The 23,855-nt window shown below is 35.2% G+C and overlaps 1 protein-coding gene and 2 pseudogenes across 15 annotated transcripts in view; all 3 read right to left on the bottom strand.

Moving 5' to 3' along the window:
* The window catches only part of ERCC6L2 (ERCC excision repair 6 like 2), a 165,402-nt gene that overhangs the window by 117,028 nt on the left and 24,519 nt on the right, over positions 1–23,855 (bottom strand). For 14 of the 15 annotated variants that reach the window (NR_164677.1, NM_001375291.1, XM_047423357.1 and 11 more), the window contains exons 4-9: positions 16,794–16,987; positions 8,236–8,397; positions 7,631–7,838; positions 2,750–2,890; positions 1,647–1,760; positions 686–805 (exon numbers count right to left, since the gene is read on the bottom strand). Coding sequence is in view for 14 of the 15 variants with exons in the window: in NM_001375291.1 (NP_001362220.1) it covers positions 686–805; positions 1,647–1,760; positions 2,750–2,890; positions 7,631–7,838; positions 8,236–8,397; positions 16,794–16,987 (939 nt within the window). In the remaining variant the exon portion in view is untranslated. The remainder of the gene's footprint in view (positions 1–685; positions 806–1,646; positions 1,761–2,749; positions 2,891–7,630; positions 7,839–8,235; positions 8,398–16,793; positions 16,988–23,855) is intronic. The other variant, XM_047423356.1, reaches the window with a different exon arrangement.
* Positions 5,192–5,990, bottom strand: PARK7P2 (PARK7 pseudogene 2; annotated as a pseudogene).
* On the bottom strand, positions 18,924–19,060 carry RNA5SP289 (RNA, 5S ribosomal pseudogene 289; annotated as a pseudogene).

The following is a 23,855-nucleotide window of genomic DNA, read 5'->3' as shown; positions in this document are numbered from 1 at the left end:
AGGGGTTAAACAAACTCTGTTGTTGCAAGGAGGCAGGAAGCTGTCAGCATTTCATGCTGCTGCCACAGGCAATGCCCAAGGCCTGGGTCAAGGTTGGAGAACTTAGCCTTACTTTTCCCACCCTTCCCTCGGTAACACATTACCAAGAGCAGCACAGCTACAGGTCAATTTTCCTGTGTATGACAAATGACTATTTGCAACTTTACGATCTAGTTCTGCAAGTAAAAACAACATGCAGAAAATTCTAGACATACAGACCTTGCCCATCTTAAACTCTTCAAGAAATTCCTTTCTCTAATTCCAAGGTAAGGCCTTTCCTTACCCCCCTGTTTTGCATTAGCTTTTATATTTCTGGTAGGTTATTTCCTTAAACATCTGAAGACAAGCTATTATCTATGTGGTAACAGCACACGCATTTTAAGAGGGCATAAGTCCAATATATCAATAAGGAAAATTTGAAGTATATTTGAAGCAACTACTACAGAGGACCTATCGAGTGCACACCATCTGTATTCGGGGTTCATAGTGACCTAGTAAATGCTGATACAATTGCACCACTTGTCCATAGCCACCATCTCTTCTGAATGACTGAGCACCTGTTCTGATTAGTTGGTGTCTCTGTCATACCACTGAATAAATATTTTGTGTATCATGTCTGTATGCAACCTGAAAGAGGAGCACTTACCTTCATTTTTCCACTGTATTTAGGGTCAGAAAGTGTTTCAAAGGCTGCATCTTTGCTTTTCTGCACAAAATCTGGGAATCTGGAAAATACCTGATCACATATCCTTTTGATAAGTGTTTCCTTGAAGGGAAAAGGCAGAAGAAAAGATATTTCCACTTAACACATTCAAACCTGTATAAATTGAAATAATTTATGAAAAAAATTCTTTTTAGAAAGAATGTATTACTTTAAAGATTTTTGCTTCCCTAAGTCAGACTAAGAATTCAAAAACTCTTAAAGTTATATGTTAAACGTATGGCACTGAATTCTTAATGATGTGGTTATTAACTTGATCATTACTTTTCAATTTTTTAAGATTTCCAAAACAAGGTGCTAAATACTCCCAAAGAGTAAAGAGTACTATCAAAGAACAATATCAAATTCTTATGAGATTTCAAAATTACATTTAAATGGCATCAACTATAACAGAAAAAAATATAAAATCATTACAAAAACATCTTTTCATTTATGTGTGCTCTAGAATAAAAGGAAACAACCAAAGTAAACTTTGAAATTACTGATTTTTGCCAGTTTGGTAAACAGCCCTAATATTTAATATACAAATTATTATAAATCCTCATTTTACCCAGTAGATTAAATACCATTACAGACATTATTAGAGGAATAGAACTGACCCATCAAATATGTTATTTAGTAATTATACCAAAGACTGTTTTGAAAAATAAAGATATGAACATTATTAAAGGCATAAAAGATAGTTCTTATTTTAAATTAAGCTTAAATTTGTTCACTTTGATTAAAAACTTAAGTGCACATACTCCTTGATATCTACATTTAAAAATAAGCAAATCAGTTTCCTCTTAAATTTCATCCACAAAAACTTTATTTAATAACTATTTTAAAACTTTATAAAATATTCACAACAATAGCATCACAAAGAAATGTAAAATGCTAACCAAACCTGTTGTTTGGAAGTACTAGCAGCTTGCAGTAGCGCGACATGGTTAGCTACCTTCTGAAGGACTGTAAGGTAACTGAGATACAAGGTTTTCACTGTTTCACCATGAGAATTGGTCTGTAACCAGAAAAATATAGAAAATAAAAAGGACCAGCATAGCTATGCACCTGCTTACATCATAAAATGTATCACTTACAATAACATTTATTATCGGGTTACTTTGGCACAATAAATTCCAAGAAAATGATGGTCAACTATTGCACAAAATATCCACAAATAGCTAATGTGGAAGCATACTTTTGGTAAATCATAATACAACTATATTTTTCATAAAGGGAGAAAATCCTTATTACAGAAAGTATTTATCCTCATGACACACAGTGATGGAAATGTTGCTGTTACGAGGTGCCTGGTAACAAAATCTAAGTGCAGTGGCAGTGCTATGCAGACCCCTTCTCATTTATGCTCCAAGGCTCCTAGGAAACTGGGCTATTACAAAAAAGGGAAGTAGTTAAAAACAGCAAAATAAATGAGACCAAATAAATATCAAACTAGATAAATATTCACTTAGGGTTTCTCTACGTACACAGATATGTGACATAATTTAATAAAACAGAGGTGAAACATGAGCAGGAAATATAAACAAAAGGTTAGAAAAAGTACAAATAAATTTTGTTTCTTTAAAAAAAACACTTTCTTTGATACTCAGTTTCTATTAAATTGACACTATATCTAACATCAGAATAGTATTTTAAGCCTCCTATACAAGAGTATGTTCGTTTACTATTAGTGGATAATGAGAAACTTCTTGAAAATGAAATGAAATTTCAAAATGAAAGGATACTTCCCAAGAAAAGCTAAAATGGAGGATATCAAAATTAAGCTTACTTTCTGCAATTAACTTTTTGAAAATATATTTGAATATTGTATTTTATATGTGATTACTATTTGATATTGTAAAATATTTTTGAAAACTATTTTTTAAGACATAGCTTTAAAGAACTGTCTGAGGAAAAGGTATTTTATCATCTGCTACTTTCTTTTACACTAGAAGAGAGTACTATGTAATCAAAAGCATGATTATAAAGATATATTGAAATGCTTGCCTTATAACAACAATTTCTCCTTTTTTGGCCACTCCTACAGGTACAAGGCTCAGAAGATTGAAGTATCAAAGTCACGTCCTCTGTTTCTAACACTGTTTGATAGACAGCTTTCTGGAAATCTGTCAAAGAACAATACACCATCTGCCAAGATAAAATACAAGGTAGTTATTAGTATTTTGTTTATAACAATAATAAAAATCATAATCTACATCTGATTTCATAGATTATAACAGTGAAAACTGGCCGGGCGCAGAGGCTCACGCCTGTAATCCCAATACTTTGGGAAGCCAAGGAGGGCGGATCACAAGGTCAAGAGATAAAGACCATCCTGGCCAACATGGTGAAACCTCATCTCTACTAAAAATACAAAAATTAGCTGGGCGTGGTGCCACGCGCCTGTAGTCCCAGCTACTCAGGAGGCTGAGGCAGGAGAATCGCTTGAACCAAGGAGTCAGAGGTTGCAGTGAGCTGAGATCACGCCACTGCACTACAGCCTGGGCGACAGAGCGAGACTCTGTCTCAAAAAAAATAGTGAAAATTGCTATAAACTAATTTTTCCCTCTATTTACATCATTATGATGATTTCTACTGACTGTCTTATATTCTTTGCTCTCCACCCCACCCTGGATAATATAAAGTATAATTTCACTTTCAAATAAACCTCATAGAATTTTTTTAATTAAAAGAAATCATAATATGAACAAACAAATGATGTTCCTTACACAGTTGACTCTTGAACATGGATGGCGCTAGGGTGCTAACTCCCCACACAGTCAAAAGTCCATGTATAACTTCTGACTTCCCAAAAACATAACTACTAATAGCCTACTGTTGACTGGAAGCCTTAACAACAGTATAAATAGTTGAGAAACACTACTTTGTGTATCTATTATATATTATATTCTTACGATAAAACTAGAAAAAAAGAAAATGTTATTAAGAAAATCACAAAAAAGTGAAAATATCTTTACTGTTCATTAAGTGGAAGTAGGTCATCATAAAGGGCTTCATATTGAGTAGGCTGAGGAGAATAAGGAAGAGGAGAGGCTGGTCTTGTTTTCTCATGGGTGGCAGAAATGAAGAGGTGAAGGAAGTGAAAAGGAAGTCAAGGGAGGCAGGAGAGGCAGGCACACTTGGTGTAACTTTACAGAAACATGTCGTAATTTCTGTCTGACATTTCTGCTTTTCATTTCTCTAAAAAAATGTTTCTATATGGTGCCAGTCCTTCTTCCACCATTTGCTTTAGTTTCAGTGCCCATATCATAGAAGGGTCCATGTCATAAAAGAAGTCAAAAGCAGTCTCAAATAATCAGAATCCCTCTGCCACATTATTTAATGTCAATTTGTTTTCTGGCACTGCTTTTTCTGCGTCTTGTTCCTCATCGTCTGGCACTGGTTTGAAAGCACTTATCTGCATCAAGTCATCTTCGATTAATTCCTCTGGTGTGGTGTCCTGAATTTCTTTAAATTAGCTCTTGAATTTCTCCAAGATCCGTCTCTTGAAACCCTTCACCTTTTTTGCCTCTCATGATTTATTTGATTGGCTCTGTTGTAAATCCTGTGAAGTCATGCACATCTGGACACAGTTTTCTCCAGCAGGAATTTACTATTCCAGGAATGATGGCTTTCATGGCTTTTTCTATAACAACGACGGTATCTTCAAATGGTGTAATCCTTCCAGACATTCATGATATTCTATCAGGGTTCTTCTCCACAGCATTGACAATCCTTTCCATAGAGAACCAGGTGTAATGAGCCTTAAAGGTCCTTATGACCCTCTGATCTAGAAGCTGAATTAGACATGTTGTGTTTGGGGGCAAGTGGACCACTTTGACGCCTTTGATGTTGAACTCATGGGGTTCTGGGTGGCCACAAGGATTATCCAACATCAAAATAACTTTAAAAGGTAGTCCTTTACTGGCAAGGCACTTCCTGACTTCAGGGACAAAGCAGTGACATTTTTTTATTTGTAAAATAGAAACATATAAATATTTGTAAATATTTGTATGCTTATATCACTACATCAGATTATTGGCAATAAACAGGCAAAGGTGCATACAAGCAAATACAGTAATGTCTCTATAAAACAATGCTAATTTTTTTTTTCCCTAAATGCCATGTTTATTCTGTAAACAGGCTCAGAAATGTAGACACAGGCCGGGCGTGGTGGCTCACGCCTGTAATCCAAGCACTTTGGGAGGCAGGCAGATCACGAGGTCAGGAGTTCAAGACCAGCCTGGCCAAGATGGTGAAACCCTGTCTCTACTACAAATACAAAAATTAACCGGGCATGGTGGCGTGCGCCTGTAGTCCCAGCTACTTGGGAGACTGAGGCAGAATAATCGCTTGAACCCAGGGAGGCGGAGCTTGCAGTGAGCCAAGATCACGCCACTGCACTCCAGCCTGGGTGACAGAGTGAGACTCCGTCTTAAAAAAAAAAACAGACACAATTTGTAGGTTGAGAAATCTCTGTGTAGTTGTTACTTCACAACAGCAGGACTGATGATGGCTTCTGAGCATATTAACCTACCATTTTTCTGTTTTTAAAAAACACAATGAGAATGGATTCCAAATGGCTTATTTCTCTAACTGATGGTCACATTTTTCTGCTCTAGTCTTTAAGAACAAGTCGAGCCTTCACTTCAGCCACCACCTCTTTGGCTCTTAGGCCTCAACAATCCCAAGAGTAGACATGAAGCCAGTCCTAGGCCCCCCGACTTGTAAAAATCAGGCCGTCCTTTTCCACACAATTCTCAGAGTAGCTGTAATGACTTCCATTCATCATTTTGTCTTTAGCAAGTAGGTATGTTGTAACTTTACTTCCAAAACCTATTTCATGAGCCAACAGACCTGCAGGACCTGAATAAATGGTAGCTATGAGGCCCTTCTCGTTTTCTTGTTCCTTCAGTATCTCTCTCAAGGCAGCGGACTCAAATAAAATCTGTGCACCCAGATTACCTCCTGTTAGAAACATCGTGTCATTTGGTCCCTCTTTTTTGCATCTTCAAGACTGACATCAGGACAAATAACAACATCACAGCTACACTGTAGTGGGTCTTTTCCAGCCAGACCTGCAATGGTGACCTTAATCTCAGCTTGTCTCATCATGTCTACAGGGCTGACTGCCTCCATTTCCTCTGCTCCTTTAGCCAGGATGACCACAACTCTTTTGGAAGCTATTTTTATCTTTTATTTTTTAAAGACCCAAACCAGACTGAAGAAGGATGCATGGCAGCACACATCCAGCCTGCCCCCTCCTGATGCTAGATTTTTAAAAAATGTTTATATAAAATATTTAGTACAGCCTGACCCCAACCTTAAATATAAAAGTACATATAAGAAAAAAAGAGAATATAGAAGTTGGTGGTCAATGATTGAAGTACAAAGGTATCTTCAGTTATTTATTATTATTAAACATAGTACCAATTACTCAATATTTCTTATGTGTCATGCATTTCAGAGTAACCATGTGAGGCAGGCACTATTATCATCACTACCATTTAACAGAGGAAGAAACCCAGGTTCCAGGGCCTCACAAATTGCTCCAAGTCACAAAACTCTAAGCAGAGGTGCTGCAAGTCACAAATACTCTAATCAAATAGTATTTGATTTCAGAGGCCAAGCTCTAAACCTCTATGAACAATTCTTTTCTTATACTTTTGTACTGTTCCTACTAGACAGATAGCTAAATCACATATATGAAGTTGCATAAAACATTTTTAAAAGTGAGAGTTCATGAAGTATCTCAATTTAGTAACAATATTTGCTTTAGATAAATATCAAAAGTCAGATGTATCTATTTCCCCAACTTGCATATCAATATCGTATTTTCCTTTCAAATCTATCTTTTTAAAGAAACAATCAAGAGGATACACTAAAATTAGAGGGCATTTCATAGGATTGCCCTTATTTGGGACAACATTAATTAGGTTTAGTTCCATAGTAATCTACAGAACCTTTATTCCATTGCCCAAGCTAGAAGAAACACAAGATGAAGAACTATAAAAGAAGACTACTATATTTTTTTAAAATCCTCTTGAAGTCCACTCCTCATATTTTCTTGAACAATTTAACAATGTAGTTTTCCTACAAATTCTAAAAGTTAGGTTAGTTGTGTAACTGCAAATAGCATTCTACAAGAAACAAACCTATATATTTTTTAAAAAGCTCTTAACCACTTTGATCCTACAGCTAGAATTAAGGTACCAAAGAATACACTGTGTGGTGGATAGTACACAGTATAGGAAGGACAACGTGTGAACAGAAAACACACTGCAGAGAGAAGCTCTTCCTTCTTTACTGGGGAAAAACTGCATCAAAAGTTTTGATGAGGCCAGGCACGGTGGCTCACGCCTGTAATTCCAGTACTTTGGGAGACCGAGGCAGGTGGATCACCTGAGGTCAGGAGTTCGAAACCAGCCTAGACAACATGGCGAAACCCTGTCTCTACTAAAAATACAAAAAAATTAGCCAGGCGTGGTGGTGCACATATGTAATCCCAGTTACTCGGGAGGCTGAGGCTGCAGAATCGCTTGAACTTGGGAGGCGGAGGTTGCAGTGAGCCAAGATCGCGCCACTGCACTCCAGCCTGGGTGACAGAGCCCGACTCTGTCTCAAAAAAAAAAAAAAAAGGTTTTGATGAGAAATGAGTTTAATGTATACTAATAATAAACCTGTTAGCTAACAGGTTAATAAAGTCAGTAAGGAAAACAACTGAGCTCAATCAATGGTTTCTGAAATTCTGCGCGCAACAATTTTTTCCATACAGAATAAAAGGCAAAAAACTGTATTTACAAAATGCCACAGGAGACAGACTTTTTCTTAAAAAGGAAAAAAAAAATATGACCACAAATTAATAATATATACAAATGCGGTTCTTACCCGGTCTTCCTTCTTAGGCAACTGATCCTTGATAAGAGTCTTGGTGCGCCTGAGAAACCAGCCAGACATCTTTTTGGCAAGTCTTTGCATGGCCTTTCGGCCAGTGGCTAGTTCTCTCTTTGTTGCCGTGTGTCTCTGACCATGTTCTACTGGGTCAGAAAACTGCTTCTTGAAGTAGGTCCCACTCCCTAAAAGGCCTGGCACAGCCCTTTATAAAGACAATAAGAAAAATGTAAGGGCTTTATTATCTAAAAACACTAACTTCTTGCTTCTAAGAGATATACTACATTACTTGATTATCAACGGTAACAAAAACAAAAGCCAAGAAAACAGAATGTTCTTTCTTTACGACAGTTTCAGGTTCTAACTATGATATGAGGATGAAACTGGCAGTGAACATGTATATTTACTTCAGGGACCAAGAGTAATATATATAAAGATAGGTTTTCATGGGACTCTCTACTGTGTATACCACATCTGGGATCAAACACATCTAAAACCAGACAAATGACTGTTTCGTTTGTTTGGAAACTAATGATTAGCAAACAAGACCGTATTCAGCTGAAGAACTATTAAACAATTTTTTAAAAAGTGTTTTCTCTCACCAGTCCATAACACACCACAGTTCCTTCATGTTGTTCTGAAGGATGGTTCCAGTGAGGCCAATGCGGACATTACATTTCAAAGCTTTCATAACTTCTGTTACTCTAGCTTTTGGATTCTTGATTCTATGAGCTTCATCCACAATGACAGCTGACCATTCCAAACTATAAAGTAAGAAAAAAGAAGGGTGAGGTTGAGAAAACTTCCTTTCTTAGTCCTTACAATTTTAGACAGTAGCTTTCTCTATCAAAGTTTTGGAATTATTTTTTCCTTTTTACTCTTTGATGACTCCATTGGATTCTTACCCACTTAGTTAAATGGTCACACCCTTGGACAGTCGACAAAAATAAAATGCGTAGAAAAGAAAGGGTATAGACATTCTTTAATGATGGTAAAAAGAAAAATTTCATTTAAACATCACTGAAATGACAATAAAGGAATTTTTTAAAGTAACAAACCAGAAAAACAAATATAAAAGAAATAAAACTTGCAATGTTTTATTGCAATATTTTTCTGAATGAAAAATATCAATATAAACTCATGATTTTTAAAAGCTGTATTCCATAGCCCTGTCCACTAAGAAAGTTTAGAGTTGATTGTTACCCCAGTAGCAATGAGCACCCATAGTGGTCTCTTTACTGAAAGGAATGAGAGCCTCACGGAAGAATGGAGAAACAGCTGATTTCAGGCATATGTTGGGGGAAACACTGAACAGCCGAAAAGCACAGATGTATCTAAAGACAAATGCGAATATGTCCAAAGAATAGAGACGCCAGCCTAATTGGAATATTTGAGCATTGTTACAAATATTGACTACAATTGAAAATATTGAATAAACAAAAATCCAGGAGTTCTATGAAAAAAATGAATTTAAACACTTACTTCACACCACACATGAAAATTAACTAAAAACAGATCACAGACCTAAATATGAACTCAAACTTTTAAAAAATGGGAAAAAAAATTTGCGACTCTGGATTAGGCACGTATTTCTTAGATATGACACAAAACTTATAGTCAATTAAAAATAGTGTGATAAGTTGGACTTCATCAAAGTTAAAAACTTTTGCTCTTCCAATGACACCATTAAGAAAATAAAAAGACATGCTACAGACTATATTGCAAATCATAATCTGATACAGGACTTGTATACAGAATATATAAAGAATTATTACAACTCAGCCAGGCACAGTGGCTCATGCTTGTAATCCCAGCACTTTGGGAGGCTGAGGCGGGTGGATCACGAGGTCAGAAAATCAAGACCATCCTGGCCAACATGGTGAAATCTTGTCTCTACTAAAAATACAAAAATTAGCTGGGCGCGGTGGCGTGTGCCTGTAGTCCCGGCTACTCAGGAGGCTGAGGCAGGAGAATCACTTGAACCAGGGAGTCAGAGGTTGTAGTGAGCCCAGATTGCGCCACTGCACTCTAGCCTGGTGACACAGCAAGACTCCGTCTCAAAAAAAAAAATTATTATAACTCAACAAAATTTAAAACAACCCAATTAAAACATGAGCAAAAGATTCTAATAGACACCAAATGTCTATCTGAAGATATAGATGTCAAATAAGCACATTAAAAAATTCTCAGCATCATTAGTTATTAGAGAACTGCAAATTAAAACATGAAATACCACAACACACCCACTAGAATGGCTATGATAAAAATGATTAACAATATCAAGTGTTGGTAAGGATGTGGAGAAACCAGAATCCTCAAACACTGCTTTTGGAAAAGCACAGCGATTGTTCTAAAACAGATGGCGGTTTCTTAAAAAGTTAAACATATACTTAGCATAAGACCTCACAATTCCATTCCTAGGTATCTATCCAAGAAAAATGAAAACTTAGGTGCAAAGACTTGTATGTGAATGTTCACAGCAGCAAATTTGTATAGCCATAAACTGGGAACAATTAAATGTCCATCAGCTGGTGAATGGACAAAATAACAGGATAGCTGTATAATAGTACCATTCAGCAATAAAAAGGAACAAACTACTGAAATGTGCTACAATATGGATGAACTTCAAAAACATTATGTTAAGTGAAAGAAGCCAGACACCAAAGACTTTATATTGAATGGCTCCATTTATATGAAATACCCAGTTAAGGCAAATCTATAGAAAGAGAAAGCAGATCAGTAGTTGCCAGGGACTGGAGATGGAAGCAGGGACTGACTATAGACAAATAACTTTCTGAGGTGATGGAAATGTTCTACAACTAGATTGTGGTAATAGCACAACTTTTAAAATTCACTAAAAATCATTCTAACTTACAAGGGTACGTTTTATGTCAAATATACTTCAATAATCCTCAAGTCCATAGCAATATTCAGAAAGAAAGAAAGAGAGAAAGAGAGAAAGCAAGCAAGCGGGCAAGCAAGCGGGCAAGCAAGCGAAGGGTGTAAGAAACTTTGCCACCATTGTAGATGACCATTATGCTAACTTCTTACTCCAAAAATTAGTCATTAAAGAAAAAGAATCGAGCATTCACCTTGCTTTTTTAAAGTCAAAATTGTGGTTAATTCCTAATTAATGGAGAAAGCTTTCCTTTACAGGAGAATACCGGTAATTAATGTGTAGAAAAGAAATAATAAAATTAGAAAAATATTATTTTGCCAAACATAATAAAGTAACTGATTCAGACAAGAACAATTTGTATGTGCTAATACTACTAAGTAAAAGGATTGAGGGATACCAGGATATTTAAATGGTGGCAAAGTATCACTCCACAGATTATTTGATCATTACAAAGGGAGAAACATATCTTTACAATGGAGAGATCTGATGATGGTAACCTTCTTAACCTGTGGGACAAACTTGGCATCACTGACAGTGAAACAACCTGACATTAGGTACTTCCTGAAGTGATGCAATATGAAGTCCACAGCATCATTTATGAAGCATTCTTGCCAAAAATGTTTAATCTGAATCTATTTAAGCCTTTGGGCCAAAACCACTTTACTAAAATACAGATGACAGATGAATATATCTTGAGAAAGTAATCAGACAAATCTAATATGTGAGATATCCTAAAACAACTGACTGGCCTGGTCCTCTCAAAAAGTCATATAATTAAAAAATACAAGTTGGAAAAATGATGTAGATTAGAAGAATAAACAGACAACCAAATTCATCACCTGAACCTTTATTGAATCCTGCTTTATAAACATAAGATATTAAAGATGTTTTGAGAATAACTGAGGAAATTTTAATTGCTATTAATATTCTTGTGTGTGACAATGATAATGTGGTATGACAAGAAGTATCACTAGTTTTAGGAAATCCATGCTAAAATACTTAGGGATAAGGATGTCATGTTTTATGCAACTTGCTGAAATGACTCATTACCACCACCGTACACAAAGACATAGACATAGACACACACATTTACATACATTAACTTACATTTTGCCAACATTTGAATGTATATACATACATACACACACACACACAAAACTGTTGGAATCTAGATGCTCATGTACTGTTATTTTAACTTTTCTATAGGTTTCATCATTTTCTTAATATAAAGCTGAAAAAAGCTAGAAGCCTCAAGAACAAAGACAGGAGAAAAATAGCAAAAATTCTAGAAGCTAAAAAGAACATGGACAAGATGGCTGACAAAAGCAGAGACTAGTGTCCTATGCCAATAGTGGAAAAAGCCAAGAAGCAATCTAATTCATATTATTTACACATTCTTGAAAAGTTAAGAATTGGTGGCTCCAGATGCCTCTGGAAATTGGAGTCATGTAAATGTTCAATAGTCTGTTTAAGAATCCTCCCACTGCACAAAGTAGATGGGCCAGGTCATCCTAAAGCGGGCAAGAGAAGGGCAAAAATCCTAATTTTCCTTAAAAAGAAATCAATAGATGATGCTGAAAACTAAAGAAAAATTGAAAAGTTGCAGCATAAACATGTTCTTTAGCAATAAGGAAGTAAAGACTATGAAGATCAGTAAGAGTTGAGGTAAAGGTAATTGGCGGACAGTGAACTGCAGTTTTTCACTAAAAGCCTTTTATCATGTTTGGCTCTTTAAATCATATACATAATTAACTTTGATAAAAACTGAAATGAAGTAAAAAATATAACAGCAATAAGAAAAAAACTACAGCTCACTCACATTCAGTTCATAGCACGTTCATCCCCTCCACAGAGTATCTGTGATAAATGCACAGAGCACTATCCTCACAAAAACAACTTAATATTTGCTCAGGTAAAATATTAATTATTTTAAATATTTGCCAAACACAAACAAAATAAAGGCATTTGAACAAATAAATTCAACTAAATAAATAAATATAAAATCATAAACATTCCTCTAATCTTATAAATATATGATTTATAGTTACATAATTCTACTTCAGAATTCTTATTTAATATTTATAACAATATTTATAACAATCAGAAAAAAAGTCACCTAAAAAACATTTATTTGGCAACTCTTATGTGCTAAAAGTACTGAGATACAGAAATTAAAGATAAAAATTTCCTACACCAAAGAGCTTACAGTCTAAGGGGACAGACAGGTAAGAAATAATTAAAATATGACTGATGCTATGATAGAAGAATTTATTACATTTATCTAATTGCAAAACATCTTTTGGGGTGGTACAGTATATTGGTTAAAAACCTAAGGTTTGGCCAGGCATGGTGACTCCCACCTATAATCCCAGCACTTTGGGAGGCCGAGGTGGGAGGATCACTTGAGTCCAAAAGTTTGAGATCAACCTGGGCAACACAGGGAGACTTTGTCTCTACAAAAAACAAAAACATTTTCCAGGCATGGTGGCGCATGCCTGTAGTCCTAGTTACTTGGAAGGCTGAGGTGGGAGACTGAGGGTACAGTGAGCTGTGATAGCACCACTGCACTCCAGCCTGGGCAACAGAGCAAGGCTCTATCTCAAAAAGAAAACAAAACAAAACCTGAGGTCTGGCGTTAGATGGTCAAGGTTCAGTCCTCATGTCTGCCACTGACTTAGTTGTGAAGGCCTAGAAAAATTATTTAACCTCTCTATGCCTCAGATTAGTCTTCTGTCAGGATCCATGAAATAGTAACAGGCTAATTTATTAGCTTGTAAGTTTGATTTATAAAATTAAATCCCAGACCTGACAAAAGTGGTAGCTCCATATCCAATTTTACCAATAATTATATTCAAAGTGAATGGTCTAAATACCCAAATAAGAGGCAAAGATTATCCGAATGGATGAAAAAGCAATATTTGGAGACTCACTCCAAATATTAAGAACAGATATACTGCAATAAAAACAGGAAAAGCTATTTACATGCAGTAAGCATAAGACTCAGCATAAGACAGCAGCATTAGTCATACAGTCAAAAACTGGAAACAATTCAAATGTCCATCAACTGGTGAATGGACAAAATATGGGATAGCTATATAATAGTACCATCGGCAATAAAAAGGAACAAACTACTGAAATGTACCACAATATGGCTATGCTCATATCAGATAAAACATCAAGATAAGAGATATTATTAGAAATAAATAGGTATATTTTTTAAAGATAAAAGGATCAATTCATCAGGAAAAAATAACAATCATAAATGCATGTGCACCTCATAAAAGAGCTTCAAAATACTAAATTAAATGCTGACAGAGGTGAAAGGAGAAATAAACATATCTACAATTACAACTGAAGATTTCAACTCTCCTCTCTCAGATACTGTAAGCCAATCGAAAAGGAAATCAGCAAAGATAGAAAACACCTAAGCAACATCTTGGCCAATCTAGTCTTATTGATATTTATAAACACTACATCCAATAACTATAGAACATTGTTTTCCAAGTGCACATGGATCAGAAAAATGCAAATTACACTACAAGATACTACTACACATCTACTAAAACAGCTAAAACAAAAAGACTGACAATACCAAACGTTGCTGAGAATACGAAGCAACTGAACTCTCACACATTGCTAGCTGGAGTAAAACCACTGTGGAAAATGGTTTGGGAGTTTCTTCTAAAGCTAAACCTACAGTTAACCATATAATACAGTAATTCTACTCCAAGAGAAATGAAAACATATGTCCAAAAAAGGCTTACATACAAATATGCCTTGAAGTTTTATCTATAATAATCCAAAACTGGAAAAACCCAAAAATCCATCCTCAAATGAATGGGTAACAAAATGTGAATATTGATGAAATGGAATACAATGCAACATTAAGAAAGAACAATCACTGATACACTCCTCAACATGAATGAATCTCAAAAAACATGCTGAACAAAAGATGCGACACACACAAAAGGGTGCTTCCTGTATAATACCATTGACATGCTCCGTAATAGCTTAAACTCACCTATAAGTGGCAGAAATTAAAATCAGTAGTTGCCCAAGGTGAGGGTTGAGGAAAAGCCACTGTAAAGAGGTAAAAGAAAAGTCCTGGGATGATAAAAATAGTTTTTACCTTGTTTGGGATAGTGATTGCACTCATTTGTCAAAACTAGGAGTCAGTATACTACTGCCCATGGCCAAATCCAGCCCGTGGCCACTTTTGTATGGTCAGTAAGCTAAGAATAGTTTTTACATTTTAAAGGGTCATAAAAATAAAAAAGAAGAATATGCAACCGAGACTATATGTGGCCCAAAAGCCTAAAATATTTACTATCTGGCCCTTTACAGAAAAAGTTTACCAATCCCTGGTCAAGATTCATCAAATTGTATTCCTGAAATGGCATAATTATTCTACACAAATTAACTCTCATTAAAGTTGATTTTAATACAACTCTCCAGCTGGGCTTGAGGGGCTAGTTTTCACAAAGACTGATTTAATTCATCCTCTGTCATTTTCCAGATGGGCTAATTTACCCAAAGCCACATGGCTAATTAGTGATTTTTTTACTCTCTTTTTTGTGTGCTCATAAAATTTGAGACAACTATCAATTGTTCATCATTTTCATCCTATGCTAAATCATTTTAATGCTGATGTGAAAGTATCACCTTAAAAAAATTACCAATTTTCTAAACTTCGGTTGACTTTGGGGGAATATCATTAACTCCTTCATTAGCAGTAGTTCAAATTGAGTATAACTATAATGTCTAAACATTTTAAAGACTTACTAGATAACTGTTTCTAATGCCATGCTTTAATCTTCACCTAAAAGGTATAAATTGTATCCCTGTAGAGACAAATCTAGGCTACAAGCAGATGGAAACTAATGATTTTACCAAGGCCCAGCCTACTGCTGGAACAACTATGAAGACTTCAGACCTCACTACCATGGTCCCGTGACCACATTACTATAAAAGCCTTGTATTGGTTTGCTAGGGCTACCAAAATAAAATACCACACACTGGATGGCTTAAAACAACCAAAATTTATTTCCTCACAATCCTGGAAGCTCGAATTTCAAGAGCAAGGTGTCAGCAAATTTGGTTTCTCCTGAAGCCTCTCCCCTTGGCTTGCAGATGACTGCCTTCTTGCTGTGTCCTCACAAGTCCCTTCCTCTGTGGTGTGTGTGTGTCCTTGGTGTCTCTTTCTCTTCCTATAAGGATACCAGTCATACTGGACCCAGGCCCCACCCAATCAGCCTCGGTTTTAATCACCTCTTTAAAACTTAATCAAAGAGACCTGTCTCTAAACACAGTTACATTCTGAGGTGCTGGGGTTGAGACCTGAACATTTAAATTGTGGAATGGGGGTTGAGGAGAAGCGACACAATTCAGCACATAACAAGCCTCTTAATTGGTCCTTCTCCATTCAGCTTGGCTCTCCTTTATCTGCACACACAGAAGCTAAGGTATTTACAAAGTGCAAATCTGATCATTTTTATCCTATCGGTAATCTGCTGACAACACTGTAGGGGGCACTCTATTGCTCTCAGGATAAAGATCAAAATCCTCAAAGTACCTTCCAATACTCTCTATAATCTTTTCCCTGCTTATCTCACTGGTGTTACCTCTTGGCCACTTCTCCCTCACACTCTATGCTACAGTGGGTGTGTGGGTGTGGGGGTGTGTGTGTGTGTGTGTGTGTGTGTGTGTAGTTTTTGCCCCTCTATATTCACAACAGACTCCCATAATTGAAATAATTCATGAAAATTACTGACCTAGTTCAGAGGCAGTGTCTGCATAAAAGGCTGTACATGAGATTTAGGACAAGTCTTATCATTCTTTAACAATCAGTGTTTGAAGAAGTATCCTGTATTCAATGTAAGAAATAGAATAAGAAGTTCTAGAAAACCTGATGCAGGTTTTTCCTTCTCAGAGAGTAAGTTATTATGAACTAAATATTTCAATAATTCTAAAATGAAATTAAATCAAGCAAAGGAATCATCATTATTCCTTTTTAAAAAATCACAATATAGGCTTGGCACGGTGGCTCACACCTATAATCCTAGCACTTTGGAAGGCTGAGGTGGGTGGATTGCCTGAGCTCAGGAGTTCGAGACCAGCCTGGGCAACGTGGCGAAACTCCGTCTTTACTAAAAACACAAAAGCAAGACTCTGTCTCAAAAAAAAAAAAAAAAAAACTCTTAATATAAAGGGATGTAAGTAGACTATTAATACAATCATTCCTATTCCTATTATTCCCATTACCTGTTAAGTTCATCCAGGCATAAGCGTAGTGTTTCATAAGTTGTTAGAGCAATTTCACATTTCCTCTGCTTTACACGAATTAATTCATTATCTTTTCTGTTTCCATGTAAAACAGTGACTCTGAAATATCCCCAGGTGTCCAATTCATCCTTCCAGTTGTAGAGGACAGAAAGAGGAGCAACTATTAAGAACATCTAAAACAAGAATAAAAAAATTTTGCTGTTTTTTAAAAACTGAAAAAGAATCCCAAAGTGAAATCCACAATATCAATATCAATAGTCCTCTTCCTTAATTTTGACATCTAGTTAGTAACAATAAATACAACTGAGTGATTAGCTATATCTGGACATTGAAGATTCTCAAAAAATAATTTGCTGTTTAATTAGCTTTTTATCAGGACAAGACAGACACCTAACCTTGCTCAAAGAAACACGTGTTTTTTATTTCCCCCTACCAAAAAGGCACTGAGAAATGAGAGAGAAGTAACTTTCCAAAAGAGAGAAAAGAATAAAATCTGGATCCCAGTAATAGCTTCAAAGGCCAAGTGGGTAATGTACATACACAAGCAGGCCACGTGTTCTTGAAATATATGGTCTCCTGGAGCTCTCTTTCCTTCTGCATTTTCCTAGCCCATTTCCGCTCCCCCTCTTTCAGATACTCTCAGTTAAAGAACTGGAAAATTCACTGGAAAATTGAAGCAATCAGAAGAAAACTTCCTGGATGAACTTCTCTCAGTATCCTATCAATAACCTATCTATATTCATTTCCATATATTTTGCCCTCCCACCTGTTGCCATGGGTACGCTGCTCATGTTCTTCTCCAAAAAAACCCCTCATACAGTGGCTCCCATTCCTTCTTGCCAACCTAAAGTCAATGCTGCAGAAACTGCCCCCAATCTCCCCTACCTGATTAACTTTTCCATTTTAATGAACCACATCACCTATGGACAAGCATGTTAGAATATTTCCCAGGGTTAAAAAAATCCGAAAAACAAAAATTTTTTAAAACTTCTTTTCCTTAACCCAACATCTATCTCTATTACCTCATTACTCTACTCTCCCTATAGCAAAGATCAAGAGTTATCAGTGCTTAACTCTCCTCCTGCTCTCTCTTGAAACTCAGGTAAATGGGACTTGTGCCCTAATAATGCCTACCAAATCAGTCCCTCTGAGGATTACCAACGTAACTCTCTGGTTATTCCTCACATTCATGTACCTTTCCTGTACTAACCCAGAATCCTGCTGTCATCAACCATTTTAACTTTTTAATGTTTTTATTTCTCCCTGTTACCACTATTCCTATCCTGTTAAGTTTAATAGGGTTACCAGTACGATTATTTTCTAAAGTTTTATACTTGATCTACTTGATAGAGATGAACCAATTAAACATACTGAAAAAATTCAGTTTAACCAAGAAATAATACAATACTGCTCTAAATTCTGCTCTGTTTTCTGTGAAACATTTAACCTAGGCCATTTGTCAACTCTAAAAAGTCAAATTTGTGACTGTGTTTTGGAAAGAGAAAGAAGAAAACGAAAGAAAATCAACATGCTGAACGTGAGAGTTCCTTTTTCCCAAGCCATCATCAAGCATATGTAAGTACTTCTTATACTTGATTCATCTCAAGTATGTCCGTCCTTTGGGTGAAGGTTAATCCTATGATTTCCATTTTTAACTTTCAAATATGAAATTAGGCCTCCAATTACTAAGTCCAATTACAGTGTCTCCCTTTGATTTTTTTGTATATTACGAGATGACAATGCTAGGTGCAAATTGCATCTGAGCAGTCTTAGTAGTTTTCCACTTGAGAGGCCATTCATCAAAGGTGCCAATGAATCTAAAGAGTCCTGGCATCAGCCCTAAGATTCCAGAAGATGTTTAAAAATTAAGGTGGCAACATAATTCTTGATATTTCTTACAAACATTGGTCTTCAAAATTATGAAAGGTGAAATAATGGTTCAAAAATTCATTTTGGTAGTGAAAGATGTCAGAGAACTGAGTTATGCTATTATGCAGAGTCCAGGGAAAGTACATAAGAACTTAGCATTTCCTACAATCCAATAAATAATATTTCATTTAATAAGTCTTTTTTAAGCAAATGATGCCAAAATAATAAAATGGAAAGCAGTGTCCAACTGCTAAGTCACTACACACAAAGCAACTCTGGGAGCTATTCCTCTAATCCAAGTACTAACCAGGTCCGACCCTGCTTAGCTTCCAAGATCAGACGAGATGTGGTGTGTTCAGAGTGGTATTGCTGTAGACATGGGGGAAGGGTGATAATTCTTATTCTGAAGCTAAAATACAATTTTATAAAACTGAATATAAAATTAACACAAATAAAATTAAAATTCATTTGCTTACGTATTATTAAAATTAACAGAAGCTAGGTTAAATAATGCAACTAGAGAATACTGAATTATTTATATCTTTCAATAAATCTTGCTCAATTATTAAGGAGTTTTCTATCAAATCTGATTCCTCAGGAACCACGGCATAGAAGAATGATGTAGTGTGGACTGTGATGAGATACTCAAAGATTAACGTGACAATTTTTGTGGCAGAAGTAGTAATAGTATTAATAATAACATAACAATTATTGAGCACTTACTGTGTGCCAAGGCCTTTAGAAGTAGTTTACAGAAATTAATTCAGGGACTTTACCCAGAAACACAGATGAGGAAACTGAGGTACAGAGATATTAAGCAACACACTCAAGGTCATACTGCTATTAAGTAGCAAAGTAAGTATTTGAACCCAGGTCTGCCTAATTCTAAAACTCTTAACTACCATGACATATCCTGTTAGCACCTTCAATCAAAAAGTCTACGTCCTTGAGATGTGTAACTTTATTTACCTTAACTTCAGTACTTCATATAGTACCTAGAAAATAGAAGGTATTCAATTGATGAATGAATACATGAAACCATACATGTCAATGCTAAGTTCGGAATAATAATATATGTTCAGAGGACAGTGAGATTACAGTAGAGTTGAAACAAAGGTTCCACGTGGAAAGAAGTGTGATATCAAAATGAAAAATAAATTATACCTTTACAGAAAAATTACGGAACATAAAATTGGAATCTTTGCTAGAAAACTCAAAGGTCTAAAAAAAGCCTTGTATTTATCGCCACAACCTTAACTCTCTCAAAAATACCTAACATAATTAATTTACACCCTACTGTGTGTATAGCTGATCATTTTCTCCTTCAGTATGCTGCAGTTATTTCATATACAGAAATTTCAGTTTAGAATCCACTGTAGTCAGGGGCTCTTCCAAGTCCTTTGTATAAAAACAGCCTAATTTTTGACAGAATATCAAGTTTTGGCATTAAATAAATTAATTACCTATGTTGGGTATTTTTGAGAGAGTTAAGATTGTAGAGATAAATACGAAAACTTTTTTTTTAGTACTTTGAGTTTTCTAGCAAAGATTCCAATTTTACATTCTGTAATTTTTCTGTAAAGGTATAATTTATTTTTCATTTTGATATCACACTTCTTCCCATGTGAAACCTTTGTTTCAACTCTACTGTCACTGTCCTCTGAACATACATTATTAGTCCTAACTTAGCACTGACATGTATGGCTTCAATTATTAATTCATTCATCAATTGAACACCTTCTATTTTCTAAGTACTATATGAAGTATTAAAGTTTGGCATTATGCCAAAACTTGATATTCTATCAAAACAGAAAGTTACAAACCAGATCAATAAATATCAACTCTTGCAATTAAAAAAGAGAAGTAAATAAGAAATATAAGAATGGAAATGACAAGCAAAGTTAACTATAAATTCAACACAACATCAACTAATATATCAATAGGTTTTGAGGAGAAATTTGAGAAAATTTATTTTTCATAAGTTGAGAAAACTTGAGGAGTAACTACCAAATAATAAATTACATTATAAAGCTAAAATAACTAAAACTGTTTAGCACTGGAAGAGAAATGAACAAATAATTAGGACAGAATAATACGTCTAGAAATAGAAATGAGTTTAATTTTACACCAAAGTGGCCCTTCAAATCACTGTGGAAAAGCAGGCTTACTCAACAAATGACATTAAGATAACTGGTTAACCAACTGAGGAAAATAAAATTGGATTACTAGACACCTACAGCAAAATAAATTCTAGCTGAAACAAAGATATAAAGGTATAAAATAAAATCACACATATTATAAAAGAACCATGAATGAATGTATTTATAAATTTAGAGTACAAAAGGCTTTTCTAGGCAAACATAAAACCCAGAAACTATACAGACCAATACATGTAACCACATAAACATTTTTAAAAAATCAATAAATAATTCAAAGCTGACTCTACATGGGGAAGAAATATTTTCAAAATATATAATGAACAAAAAATTAGATTCCAGGATATATCGTTAAGGACTATTAATCAAGGACTATGATTAAAAACGAGAATTAGATTTAAAAATAGCTTTTAAACATCTGAAATGCTACAGCTTCACTCATTAAGAAATGTAAATCAAAGCAAGATAAAAATTTTAAATCTCTCAGGTAGTCATAAATTTATGTTTGCTAATACCTAGTGCAAACGAAAAGGTGGAAACAGACATTCTTATACATCACTCGTGGGGATATGGGGTAATTTAACTCCAGTTATCAAAAAGTAATCCCCTAAATCCAGCTCTACCTGCTATCCAATTCCAGTACTAAGAATTTATCCTACAGTTATTATTGCAAAAGTTGTGCATAAGGATGCTCACGGTAGCATCATGTGCAACATAATCCTCTTGGTACATATGAAGAACTAAAAAAATAGTGTATAGTAAATAAAATAATTATAAAATATTTTTGTTAAATTGTCATTGAAATTGCTTCCGATGCTGGTGTTGTGATTGCTACAAAAATCCTCCTCTTTTGCATTAATTATGAATTTTACTTAGAATCTCTAAAGCTTCATCATGCAAGATAGTAATATTTTATAATAAATTTATTATGATTCATAAAAATTGAATTTCAATCAAAACTTAGCCTACATCTAAAGAACCATTCCAAAAATCAATGTTTAAAATGTAGAGCTTGTGTCTTTTCCTTTAAGAATTTATTCTTGGCACAAAACATTCATGCATTCTTATTCAGATGATTTATTCACACTTGAAAAGTTTTTAAATGTATATGAGATGTATCGTATCACACACACATACCTTAGACCCACCACTCCTTAATTTGTAACATTCAGTTCATTAAAGGGCTTTCTTCAACAAGCTTCAACATTAATTTTTCAGAATTCAATTGTAATTCTGGCATTAGCATAATAAATACAAAAGAAATGATTTCTTCTCCATTTCATAAACTGTCTTTTTAAAACATACATTGTTTTAAATGAACCAATACAAATTTATCTTTTAAAACTTTCAAAGTTATAATTTTTGTTTGTATTTACTTCTGGGAAATACTGTAGAATGTCACTGGTGATGCCATTAAAAACTCTAAATTCCAGTTCAAATGACTAACTCAACACGTTTGTATTGATGCCAATGAAACAAAAGAACAAACATAATAAATCCATAATAGTGGCAGAATGCCTGGAAGGGCAGTACCAGCAGGTCAGAACAGTGCAGGAGCAGATGAGAACTGGCACACCTGAAGAACTGAGCAATCCGCCCTACACCTCTGAAAGCAAAAACTCCCCCTGCCCTCCCCCGCTAAAAAATTTACTTTTCCTAGAAGGAACCTAAAAACAACAACAAGCAAAACAAAACTCAACAAAACAGCTAAGGTAGTTGGAAAGACTAAGTCAAGAAAAATAATGGCCAAGTAATTTTAAGAAGGAAAAGTTACACCAGTCATCAAAGAAACTGATTCTAGCATCAGTATGCAACTTTCCCTGCATAAAGCACTGTATATATATTTTCTAAAGCAAAACTTATTTGGAAGAATTCTATGGTGAGTGTTAGGGCTCATGGAAATTTCCAAATTTCATCAATTAAAAAAGTCCTTAATACTTCCAAACAATTAAAAAAAAAATCCTTTCCAAGGAAAAAAATCGGGTTGACACTGAACTCTCATCTGCAATATGGAGTGACAGAAGATGTTTTGTCATTATAAAAGAAAATTTTGAACTTAAAATTCCATAGGCAGATAAGCCTATGGATAATCAAGTGTGAGAGCAATATACAAACACATAAAATTTACTGAAGAATTTTTTTTTTTTTTTCTGAGACAGAGTACCACTCTGTCACCCAAGCTGGAGTGCAGTGGCACAGTCATGGCTCACTGCAGCCTCAACCTCCTGAGCTCAAGTGATCCTACTACCTCAGCCTCCTGAGTAGCTGGGACTACAGGCACAAGCCACCACACCTGGCCTCTGAAGAATTAACTGAAGACGTTAAGAAAAAGTTGGTATGAACACAAAGAGAAATAAAAAAATTTAACGTTTTTCTTTCCAGATCCAACTGTTCAGACAAGAAGAAAATAACACTATTAAACATTTTAACAATGCAATTAACAAACATGATTAAATAGAAATATATAAAACCATGTGACCATGATTACAAAGAATGCACAATATAAGCAACATTTTAAAACAACAGAGACTACACAATGCACTACATCAAAGCATAAAAACTGATCCATGGATGTAATCACAAAGAAAAAAATATCAAGGCTGTTATCTGATGCAACAAAACTAGAATTGTCAAAAAGGGTTCAGCCCTCCCATCATCCTGAGCCCCAACAATAGCTATTCACTTGGAAATTTTTTAATTTCTCTTTCAAATAGTACTTGGGTAAAAGAGAATAAAAATTAGGGCCACAGATAATTTAGAAAAGACTAACGAAAAAACTACATATTAAAAACTATAGAACACAGACAAAGGAGTACTGAAAGGAACTTTTTTTTTTTTTGAGACAGGGTCTTCTCTGTTGCCCAGGCTGGAGTGCATTGGCATGATCACGGCTCACTGCAGCCTAGAACTCCTGGGCTCATGCGATTCTCTCACCTCAGCCTCCCCAGTAGCTGAGACCACAGACACACACTACCACACCTGGCTAATTGTTTTATTTTTTTATTTTCTGTAAAGA

The sequence above is a fragment of the Homo sapiens genome, chromosome 9 (genome assembly GCF_000001405.40).
Source record: "Homo sapiens chromosome 9, GRCh38.p14 Primary Assembly".
Lineage (NCBI taxonomy): Eukaryota > Metazoa > Chordata > Mammalia > Primates > Hominidae > Homo > Homo sapiens.
Note: the sequence above shows the minus strand (reverse complement) of the source record. Positions and strands in the feature narration are given on the sequence as shown.